Genomic DNA, 12,137 nt, shown 5'->3' with positions numbered 1-12,137 from the left:
TTTGTTTGATTTTATGTTTGTTTCTCTCTCTCTCGCTTTTTTTTTTTTTTTTTTTGAAACAGACTCTTGCTCTGTCACTCTGATTGGACTGCAGTGGCACCATCACTACTCACTGCAGCCTGAACCATTCTGGGCTCAAGCAATCCTCCCACCTCAGCCTCCCAAGTAGTTGGGACCACAGGCATGTGCCACCATACCCAGCTAACTTTTGTTTATTTTTTATAGGGATGGGATCTCATTTTGTTGTCCAGGCTGGAACTTCTGGGGTCAAGCCATCCACCCGCCTCAGCCTCCCAAAGTGCTGGGATTACAGGCATGAGCCACTGCACCCAGCCTGTTTCTCTTTTACACTGAAAAATTTGGTTCTTAGTAACCTAATGTAGTTACTTACTTCTTTTATCCTACTACATATATAATAGAACCAAAATAGTAACGTCAATGTGGTTATTAAGATGAAGTCTACTGAATGCAGTTTGCTTTTGTTTTTTTCCCTGAATGCAGTTTAAGCTGTATTTTTATCCTTAGGCCAAATATGGTCAATGTAGTGTGGAAAGTTAGATCTGTATGTTTTTAATTTTAAAGAAATTACATATTTTTTAATTTAATTTTTATTTTTTTAAACTGCACATTTACCTTTTCTCTGAGATGAGGGGGCACATTTAAATCTGTGTATGTCCAGAGTCCGTGAGGATTGGGAATCAGTCTAAAGCTGTGCTCGCTTCTCCTCTTCCATTGCGATTTGCCTTCTTTATCCAGTCTTTTGGAATGCTGAACAAAAATGTTTTTGGCACAAGGCAGGCGTGAAAACATAAAGTTAATAAAAATCGAATGCATAAGCTAGAGCAGATTATCCACAGATTCTTCCATCTCCATATAGATTATCACCATTGCCTGCACCTGTTTTCCTTCTCCAGCCTATCTGATGGAATGGTGCTTCCATGACATGTGGTATTTGGAAGGCTCTTAGCTCTGATGTAATCAGGGTTTGACCCATAGTCACCTGAAATAGTTCTTCTGTTTCTCTTTGTTCTATGAACTGAAGGGTCTCAGAAGCCCGTGTTATGCAAATACCCTTCCATCCCCTTCCCTCTCCCCTTGCCTCTATCCATGTTCCCTCAGCCTCAGGGTGCTTGCAGGCTAAGAGGATTGGGTCTCTGGCATCCTGGAGCTGAACAGCTCGTGTCAGGAATTCCCCAGGCCCTTGAGTCTCTGGGGTGAGTTGTAGGGGTGTGTAGGGTGCTGGGGATTAAGATCTGCTGAGTAGGTGCTTACCAGAGTTATACTGAAGGACCTGAAGACAGATCATCTTCACATAATCAGCATGACCCATAATCTGTGATGTCACTGAGCTTCTTTTATTTCTGTAGTCAAGGAATGTGCACAAGTAATGCAAATATAATTACTTTTAGTCCTGAGGATTAGGGAACTTGGGGGATGTTCACATTACCTGATGATGTCAATATTGTGTTATGTTTAATTTTTTTTAAAAAAGATGCTTATTTATTACTGAAATAATCTAAACTGAATAAATAACTTTTTAAAAAATTACATTGGCCAGTATTAGGTTCCTGATACGTATTTGGTGTTTTGTTTGTACTGCTGGGTTTTTTCTCTCCAGTATTGGATGCGTTAACGGGGAGCCTTGAGAAGTTATGAATTTTGGTTTGTTCGGAATTGCTTTTTATAAGTTTTCTGTGACCTCATGCACTAAATACTGATGCTACCACACTCCTGCAAGTATGAAATAAAAGTATGTCTCTTCAGTATTGCATTCCTGCGCCAATTCATTTAGAAGGGTAGAATTTGCACACAGGTCAAATCTTGCATTATTTGCATTTGGGGGGAATACACTCTGAAGGCAGTTTTCTCTCTCTCTGTCTCCTTTTTCCTCCTTTCTTCCTCCTATTCCCACTTTTTTTTTTTTTTTTTTTTGAGACAGAGTTTCAGTCTTGTTGCCCAGGCTGGAGTGCAGTGGCGCGATCTTGGCTCACTGCAACCTCTGCCTCCCAGGTTCAAGGGATTCTTCTGCCTCAGCCTCCAAGTAGCTGGGATTACAGGCATGTGCCACCACACCCAGCTAATTTTTGTATTTTTAGTATAGATGAGGTTTTGCCATGTTGGTCAGGCTGGTCTCGAACTCCTGACCTCAGGTGATCCACCTGCCTCGGCCTCCCAAAGTGCTGGGATTACAGGCGTGAGCCACTGTACCTGGCCTATTCCCACTTTTTTTGATCGCCTTCTGTCAGTAGTTCCACAGCTCAGAGGAAGCTCAAAGGAAGCTGGGTCTTTTTTTTAGGTCCGTAACTTTTGAGAGGGGTCATCTTGGGTCCATGAAGTGGACTGTCCCTGTTTACTTTGGCTGTGACAGTCAACAATGATGAACTGTCTTTTAAGTGATACTGCTTCTGCAGCTGTCCATCTTGATCCCCTCTCTGTGGCTTTTCTAGGTTTTTGTTTCAGAGACATGTCCCCTGCTCTCCTGGTTCAAATAACATGGTGATGTTCATCTCTCAGACCATGACAGTCCATGAATGCACAGACAGTCCAGGTCTCGTGTGATACAGCAGGGCAGTGGACACAGCCCCGGGCAAGAGGGAGAATATACTGCTGTCCTGCCCACTCACGAACTGTTTTCAATCCTTTTTATCAGTAGGATTTGAAAAGATTAGAACATTAATCGCAAACCAAATATCAGAGGCTGTGTTGTTCTGTCCCAGTGGTAATCCCATACCTACATGGTAGCTGCTTTTGGAGCTACTACTCGGTTAATTAAGTGGCCACCATCATGTACTGTGATCTGTTTTTTCTGGCAGAGGCTCACGGGCAATTTGAATGAACATGATGGAAATGATCTTTAAGTCTTTGTGGAGGGGGCACTAATAGCTACAATTCCCAGAGGATTGTGGTCTTGCTTCAGATTTATCTTGAGTGGGAGTGGGGAGTGGGCAGTTCCAGAGCTTCCACTTGATCCATGATGGCTCCTACTCATTATGAGGGTTCTGCAGGCCATTATGTAAAACCATCCCACTTTGAACTCATAGCCAGGGAAATAACCGTGTGATGGATCCTCTGATTTGTTGGACTCTCTGTGAAAAGGACTGGGGCCAAGGCTCCCATTATCCCTGGCCTCCCTAAGAGTGATAAGGGAGAGTGATGGCATTTCAGGTTCCCTGGTGCTACCATGTCAGTTCAGACTGTATCCAGTAGTCCTCAGAAGGTGGTGGCCTTGGGGTGCCCCTTTTCTTAGGACACAGTTACCCTGAGTCTTGTTGGGAAGGATTGGAGGAATATTTACTGTGTGGACTTGGGGTGGTAATGCAGGATCCTTCCTCAAGGGGATCCATCCAACCTTCCATCAAATTTTGTTGACTGTATGTTAGAGAACTGGCTCAAAGCTGGGAATTGGATGAAGGAATCTCAATTTTCCATGCAGTTGTTGACATCAGCCTTTTGCTCACAAGTTTTTAAACATGTCAAGCAGTACTCTTGCTGATTGCCTGGCCAACTCACCCCACAGAAACGTGTGGCTTATGAGCCACTGCATAAGGTCACTCCTGGTCCACAGGTCAGCACACCCTGGTTGCCACTGTGACCTTGCTGGTTGTTGTGGTAATTGTGCCTTCCTGCTTCTGATGGTTAAGCGGTCCCATGCTGGTTATGCCAGAACCTCATCATCCCCAGCGACACTAGGGCGCCCCTTGCCTGCAGAGGATGGCCCCACTGGGGGGGCTTCCCAAGTATGCCAGGGCCCTCCTCACCAGTGCCTTCCTTCCTGAAGGGAGAGTTCTCTGGGCTCTCCTGGGGAATAGAGCCAGGTAGTGGGGTCTCTGGTCACCCTTTTTACATTCCCACCTCTTGAGCCATTCCATACCTTTCTCAGGATGCCAAGGCAGTCCTGGCATCCTCACCTCATTTCCTGTAGACCAGCGTCATGTCTAGGTTCCAAGGATCCTCCCAACAGCATAGGGACTGGGCTCTTACCAATAGAATATAGGTCATGGGAGAATACACCCTACCAGTAACTTCCCCATATCCGGCCTGGGATTTTCCCCCTCAAGATCCATTCCCAGTGACCCCCATAGTTAGGTCTTACTTTTCTGGCCTGAGATGTGAGTCTCTTTAAACATTGCCACAGAAGCCTCTGATATTCATAGGATGCCCTGAGTGGATGGCTCACCTGAGCCCATCAAACCGTCACTGTCTTCAAAGCTTCCAAATCTGTTAATAAAAGCCAGCTAACCTCACACTCCTTTCAATGACCAGTGACCCCCACCTCTGCCCCGCTCCAGGGGTGGAGCCAGTGCAGATACCGACTGCTCCCCCTCTCTCCATGCCTCCTCCCGGTCCCACAGAGTTGAGGGCCTTGGTATTTGTCTTTGAGGCGTTACCACCCCACTTAGCACCAGCTATAAGGTTCTTGCTATTTGACATTCATGAGACAACAAGGTGCAGACTCACATCCTGATGATCTGCTGTTGAGGCCACTCCTGGTATCAAGGTCGTACTTTGGGTCCCTCTAGAAGCAGAACATTGGGTGCAAGTGGTTTGAGAAGTGATCCAAGAGCATAGGAGCAAGGGACAGGTGGAAAGAAGGGACAGCCTGGGTCAGAATGCATATTGTAGTTATCACTCTGGGAACCGGGACATGATTCTTCTGAGACCTCCTGAAAAGTGCACAAAGTGTCTCCAGAATTATTTGCCTAAAAAACAAGAGAATGCAGTTCTCCACCCTCTTTGTCCCTCATTGGCTGAAGGTTGCCCTCAGGGGCATGGACTGCCTGGTGCTCCTGGACTTCTGGGCTGAACCCATTCCCCCAGTGTTGGGGCAGAAAGGCAAAAAGACATGAGATCTGAGTGTGAGTTGAGACAATCAGCACAAAGCATACTGAGCTTGCACAAGACCATTCACAGAGCTACAGCTGATGTAGGCATGTTTTTAAAAACTTTTAAAGACCAGGCGCGGTGGCTCACGTCTGTAATCCCAGCACTTTGGGAAGCCGAGGCGGCGGATTACCTGAGGTCAGGAGCTCCAAACCAGCCTGGCCAACGTGGTGAAACCCCGTCTCTACTAAAAATACAAAAATTAGCCGGGTGTGGGGGCAGGAGGCTGAGGCAGGAGAATTGCTTGAACTGGGGAGGCGGAGGTTGCAGTGAGCTGAGACTGTGCCATTGCACTCCAGCCTGGGCCACAAGAGTGAAACTCCATCTCAAAAAACAAACAAACAAACAAAAAAAAACAGTTTTCAGGCTGGGCACAGTGGCTCACGCCAGTAATCCCAGAACTTTGCGATCGTGAGGTGGGAGGATTGCTTGAGGCCAGCAGTTGGAGACCAGCCTGGGCAACATAGTGAGATCCTATCTCTACAGAAAATTTGAAAATTATTAACTGAGCATGGTGGCGCACCCCTGTGGTCCCATCTACTTGGGAACAGAGGTGGGAGGATCGCTTGAGCCCAGGAGGTCAAGGCTGCAGTGAGCCATGATCATGCTGCTGCACTCCAGCCAGAGCAACTGAGCAAGAAAGACCCTGACTCAAAAACAAAAAACTCTCTCCTCTGCCTTCTCTTTTCACCCTATATCCCTCCCAAAGTGCTGGGATATCCATCGGAGATCATTTCACAATGGCAAGGGCTACATACTCTCCAGAGCTGCGTAACATTTGATCATGTATGTGTATTTGTATATATACAAACATGCATGTACAATACACATACAATATAAACCATAATTCATTTTATCAGTCTGCATTTTTATTTGTGTCAACATTTTGCTAGGAAAATTTTTCAGAGAGGGTTGAAAGATTATACCATTAACATATTACTATCAGTCCATTCCTCCATCTATCAATTCATCTTATTTTTTGAATGTATTTCAAAATAAGTTGCAGATATCAATGCCCTCCTCTTGCTAAAATAAATACTTCAGTAGGCATATCATTAACTAGCAGTCAGTGTTTGTTAGTAGCCCCTTTTTCTTCCAAGGTAAAATTTACATACAATGAAATGCACATATCTTAAACGTACCATTTGATGAGTTTTAACAAATGCCTACACCTGCATAATCCAAAACCCTTATCTAGCTATGGAATATTAATTACCATTACCCCAGAAAGTTCCCTCACGTCCCTTCCCAGGCAATACCTACCTCTACTCTCCCAGAGTTAACTATTCTGATTTTTTCTTCCACCATAGATTAGATTTGCCTTTCCCAGGACTTCATATAAATAGGTTCATGCAGTATGAACCCAATTGTGTAAGGCTTCTTTCTCTCAACATTTTTGAGATTTATTTACATTATTACAAATACCAGTAGTTTGTTCTTTTTTATTGCTGAGTAGTAGTCTATCATATACATATGCCATAGTTTGCTGAAGCAGGAGAATCGCTTGAACCCAGGAGTTCAAGACTGCCATGAGATATGATTGAGCCATTGCACTCCAGCCTGGGTGACGGAGCAAGACCCTGTATCCAAAAAATCTTAAAAAATTATAATAGTAAATAAAAAGTAATAAAAATAAAAGAATTAGGATCCAAACCAGGTTCACACTGACCTAATGAATATCGTATCATTTCATATTACGAATATTGTACCATACCTTATTACACATATCATATCACATATAATGATCTAATGCAATCATTAGGCCATTATTCCTCTGAAGTTCTTTCATTTCCAAATAATACTCCCTTTCTTTCTTTTAATACCATTGATTTGTTGGAACAACTGAATCATTGGACTTTTAAAATGTCCCACATTTTGGATTTGGCTTATTGCTTCCTTATGGTATTATTAGATTCGGGTTCAATTGTGATTTTGATTCAATAATGAGGACTACTTTCTAGATGAGACTGTACTTCGTGTTAAATCATAACATGAGAGACATAATGTCTGGCTATTCGACTTTTTTTGAGGCTGAAATTGAGCAGATGGAGCACAAAAAATATGCCCAATCCTTCACACAATTTCCATCAGTGTTTCTAATGGTTTTAGCATCTATTGATGATTATAGCTTAAATCCATTTCACTAAGTGTTGGGGAAAAGGTGTTTTCAGATGCTTTTATTCCTTCTGCATTTATTGTTATTTTGAGACAGGGTCCCTCTCTGTCACCCAGGCTGGACTGCAGTGGCCCTATCACATCTCACCATCGCCTTGACCTCCTGGGCTCGAGCAATCTTCCTGCCTCAGCCTCCTGAGTAGCTAAGACTACCAGTGCCTGCCACCACACCAGCTAATTTTGTTTGTTTATTTATTTTAAACAAGAAGTTTAAACAACAAGCTTCTTGACTTGAAGGAAAAACTATCTAGGATTCCTTTTTTTTTTTAGACTAATTTATCCCTACTTAAAGACAAATTGCCCTACATTTAACAACTATGTACAACAAAGTTATAAAATTGTCCTTGGTTTTACAATGATAAATGAAAAACATTAACATTCTACAATTGAATAAAGTATGCAAGGATTTTTATGTTTTTTTTTTGTTAAAACAGCAAAATAACTTACTGAAATATAAAGATAAGAGCTGAATGAGCATGCCACTAATGAAGAAAAGGGAGTATTTTTACAGAATCGGTATTTTTCCCCATCTCATCTCCACTTGATATCAATCAAAACGTACCATTGGCTGTTTAGTTAAAAAAAAAAAAGTAATATACTTGTGCACATTTACCAGTTACTTTATGTACAATAAAGGAATGGGGAAGGGGGAAATGAAAGAATAGAGAAAACTATACTGTAGTAGTCAGGATGTGGTGGAACCAAATTGCAGTTTTCTATTTGAGAATGTGATCTTGGTCTGTAAAGAACAGAGTTCTGGAGTGAAGTGGGAGGTTCCCTTTTTAGTAGACACCCCCTGACTGCTGTTGGAACATATCGGTTGTATCTTCATCCTCCATTTCCAACTGAGCAGGTGTGTCTCTTTCATTGATTGGTTGCCTGTCAAATTGGAATCTGATCTGTCTCATTGACCATCCCTATCGTTCACAACAGGCTTTCATTAGTTTACTAAGTGGTGTATGCCTCTTAATCCTAAACTGCACCACAGAACCCTCCTGCCCTGCCACCTTCAAATTAATATGATCTTTGTTCTCAGTCTCGATTCCTTCCTTGGGCTTTTCATCTGCCACGGCAAGCGCCTAAGTCTCAGCTGCCGCTTCACAAAAGAGGTACCAAGACTGCACCGAATGAGCACGCAAGCAGCAACAGGAGTGGGAGAAGAAGGAGGCGGCAGCAGTGGGTGAGGGAGACACTAATTTTAATTTTTTTTTTTATAGAGACAGGGTCTCGCCATGTTCCCCAGACTGGTCTTGAACTCCTGGGCTCTAGCAATTCTCCTGCCTTGGCCTCCCAAATTGCTGGGATTACAGGCATGAGCCATTGTGTCCGGGCCCTTCTGTATTTAATTAACTGGGATCCAGTGGAGAATTTTCCATTGTCAATGTTTTGATAACCCTGAAATACAGTTTTTATGTGAAGGGGAAGTAAACTGCTTGACTCTTTCTCTGTATTTATCACTTTTCATAGTAATGAGTTGGTACTCTAGCAGTCTCCAAAAGTGACCAATGAATTTTTTCTCCCTGTAAATTACGATGAACTGATAGGTGTTAATATACACGTAGTCATATTTTTTAAATTGATATATCTCTTAAGTCTCTCACATGCTCGCTCTCTCTGTCTCTCATTTTGACACTCAGATTTCTCCCCAAGAACAGTGGGAGCCTCTTCAGGTTCGCGCCTGTGCCTCACATCTAACTGGCCACCATCCTGGAATGTCCTCCTTCTGCCTCCTGCCCACCTCATTGTCACCACCGTGGGCCATAGCCACATCTCTTCTGCCTTTTTTGCCCATTCAGGAAAAAGCCAAACATTTGAAAACACATATCTGGTCCTATCATTCTTTCATTTCAGTTGCTCTCCATGGCTCTCAGCATAAAATCCGGGCCCTTGAATCTGGACTTCAGGGCTCATTCGATCTGGCCCTGGCCTCCTCCTCTGCCTCAGCAGCTGCCATGTTTCAACTATATTGAGGCTCTGTGGCTCCTGGCCTGTAGTCCTGCCCTCCCTCCCCCAGGCCTCACACGCAGTTTTCTCCATCTGTGTCACCTTCCCCCATGGCTAACTTCGCTTTATCCTAGGCCTTGGCTCAGGCCAGTGGTTCTCAACCTTGGCTGCACATTACATCATCTAGGCAGCTTTAAGAAATTCCAATGTCTGGGTTCCTCCCAAGACCAATTAAAACATGAATGTCTGGGGGTGAGGTCAACTTTGCTTTTTTTTTTTTTTTTTGAGACAGAGTCTCGCACTGTCGCCCAGGCTGGAGTGCAGTGGCACAATCTCGGCTCACTGCAAGCTCCGCCTCCCAGGTTCACGCCATTCTCCTGCCTCAGCCTCCTGTGTAGCTGGGACTACAGGCACCTACCACCACGCCCGGCTAATTTTTTTTTTGTATTTTTAGTAGAGATGGGATTTCACTGTGTTAGCTAGGATGGTCTCGATCTCCCGACCTCGTGATCCACCTGCCTTGGCCTCCCAAAGAACTTTGCTATTTTTAAAAGCTTGCGTAGATGATTTTGCTGTGCAGCCAAGATTGAGAAACACAGTTTGGGGTGTTTCTTCCTTTGAGAAACTTGCCCTTGCCCCTCCCCTCAACCCTGCCATGCCTGGGTTCCCTGCCATTTATTTCTGCTGCAGCATTCTGCTCTAACCCTTACTTTACCGCCTCGACCTCACTGTGTTAACCCTTGGGTTTCTTCTAGGCTAGATGGAAGCTCCATATGGGTTGTGGCCACATCTGTGTGGTTCTTGTCTGTGATTACTCAGCACGTAAGAGGTGCTTGGTAATACTATATTTGTAAATGGATGGTAGGGAGATATTTAGACTAGACTGAGGTCATTGGAGGGTAGAGACAGTGTCCCACCATGTATGGGACAAAGGCCAGATTCCATTGTCTCCCACCATCATTTTTTCCCAGCCTTATCTCCTGCTCCTCTGAACTTTTTCACTTAGACAGGTGGATTTCAAACAGCTCTACCCTTTTCCGAATTCTGCCAGTAGTTGCTTGGCCTCCTTTCTACCTGTCTAATGAATGTTCCCACCTCATGGGCCACCTTTGAACTTAGGAAACTTGTGAGGAACACTTATTTGACACTTAGCCATGTATATACTATGAGAATGTTTTCAAGAGCATCCATTGAGACACCTGGTGTAAGAAATAATTTTTCTATTTTTGTGAGTTTAGGGGACTTTTCCTTTGAACAGAAATTAAAACCTTATTTACTAGAAGAATAAAGTGATGTTAAATTGACACTTGCCCTTTTAAAAATGATTCTTAGTTGTTTGTGTTTATTTAGCTTTATTGAGATGTAATTCACTTACAGTGAAGCTCTCCATTTGCCCCTATGAATTCTTCTCTGAGTTGTTTAACTTCCGCTCGCCAGTTGGATTTCAGGCATGTGTGATCTAGGACTCATGCTGCCACAGTTGCTTCCAAATACAGCTTCAAGGGCAACCCCCAAAGCCACCATGGACTATGATGCTACTGTGACTAGAGCTAGTATTGTGACCTTTGAAAGCCTAAAGATGCACAAGGAATCTGACCCATAATGGAAAGCACTAGTTAGTTGGCTTCTTAAAACCCTGGTTCTCTTGGCTCCTGTGGCCTGTTGCTGCCTTATCCACCAGAGGGCAGTGTTCCACTCGGCTTAACAGTCGAACCCCCACCCCCACCACCCGTTGAGGTCTTGCCTTTCAAAATCCTAACATTTTAGCTCCTGAAGTGACCCCAAAACAGTGTTTCTTAAAATCGTGCTTGGTAGAAATAAATCTTACATTGCAACCAAATATACATGCGTACATATACAACTCCACATATGTATATATAACAAAAGTTTTATAAAGTAATACTTTACTATGTGTAATATTCTTTCTTTCTTTCTTTCTTCCTTCCTTCCTTCCTTCCTTCCTTCCTTCCTTCCTTCCTTCCTTCCTTCCTTCCTTCCTTCCTTCTTTCTCGTTCTTTCTTTTGACGGAGTCTCGCTCTGTCACCTGGCTGGAGTACAGTGGCATGATCTCGGCTCACCGCAACCTCCACCTCTCCGGTTCCAGGGATGCTCCTGCCCCAATCTCCCGAGTAGCTATTTTTTTTTTTAATTTTTGGTAGAGACGGGGTTTCACCATGTTGGCCAGGATGCTTTCGATCTCCTGACCTCGTGATCCACCTGCCTCAGCCTCCCAAAGTGCAGGGATTACAGGCGTGAGCCACCGCACCCAGCCTCTATTTTCTTTCTTGCCTTTTTTTTTTTTTTTTGAGACAATGTCTTGCTCTGTCACCCAGGCTGCAGTGCAGTGGCATGAACACGGTTCACTGCACTCTCAACCTTCTGGGCTCAAGCAGTCCTCCCACCTCAGCCTCCCAAGTAGCTGGGAGCATAGGCGTGTGCCACCAAGCCTGCTTAATTTTTGTTTGTTTGTTTGTTTGTTTTTTTGTAGAGACGAGGCCTCGCTGAATTGCCTAGGCTGGTCTTGAACTCCTTAGCTCAAGTGATCCTCCAACCTTGGCCTCTCAAAGTGCTAGCATTATAGGCATAAGCAACGGTGCCTGCTATTCTTTGATTTTTATTTTTATTTATTTTATTATTTTTTTGAGACAGAGTCTCGCTCTGTCGCCCAGGCTGGAGTGCAGTGGTGTGATCTCAGCTCACTGCAACCTCCGCTTCCCGGGTTCAAGCGATTCTCGTGTCTCAGCCTCCCAAGTAGCTGGGATTATAGACGTGCACCACCATGCCCGGCTAATTTTTGTATTTTTGGTAGAGATGGGGTTTCACCATGTTGGCCAGGCTGGTCTTGAACTCCTGACCTCAGGTGATCCACCTGCCTTGGCCTCCCAAAGTTCTGGGATTACAGGTGTGAGCCATCATGCCTGGACAATTCTTTCATTTTTAAAAGATGCTTATTGCCACCAAAAATGAGTTTATTATTCACAAATCAGGTCATGGCCCACAATTTTACAAATATTGCCTTAAATGCCTTAAAGTTCTTTTAGTCTAATACCCTGGATAGTTATGGATGAAGAGAGGTAGGGTTAGAGATGGGACTTATCCAGGTCACTATGGGATTCAGAGCAATATCTAGGATGGGG

At 43.9% G+C, this 12,137-nt stretch overlaps 1 protein-coding gene and 1 pseudogene across 5 annotated transcripts in view; one reads left to right on the top strand and one right to left on the bottom strand.

Annotated features, from left to right (window-relative positions):
* Positions 1-12,137, top strand: part of GLB1 (galactosidase beta 1) — a 136,039-nt gene that overhangs the window by 11,817 nt on the left and 112,085 nt on the right. Inside the window, exon 2 of one of the 5 annotated variants that reach the window (NM_001317040.2) lies at positions 8,093-8,236. The exons of the other annotated variants lie outside the window; for them this stretch is intronic. Within the exon in view, the coding sequence (NP_001303969.2) occupies positions 8,093-8,236 (144 nt within the window). The remainder of the gene's footprint in view (positions 1-8,092; positions 8,237-12,137) is intronic. 5 annotated transcript variants of the gene reach the window in all.
* On the bottom strand, positions 7,639-8,243 carry SUMO2P10 (SUMO2 pseudogene 10; annotated as a pseudogene).

Source organism: Homo sapiens, chromosome 3, assembly GCF_000001405.40.
Source record: "Homo sapiens chromosome 3, GRCh38.p14 Primary Assembly".
NCBI lineage: Eukaryota > Metazoa > Chordata > Mammalia > Primates > Hominidae > Homo > Homo sapiens.
This window is presented reverse-complemented; position numbering and strand designations above follow the sequence as displayed.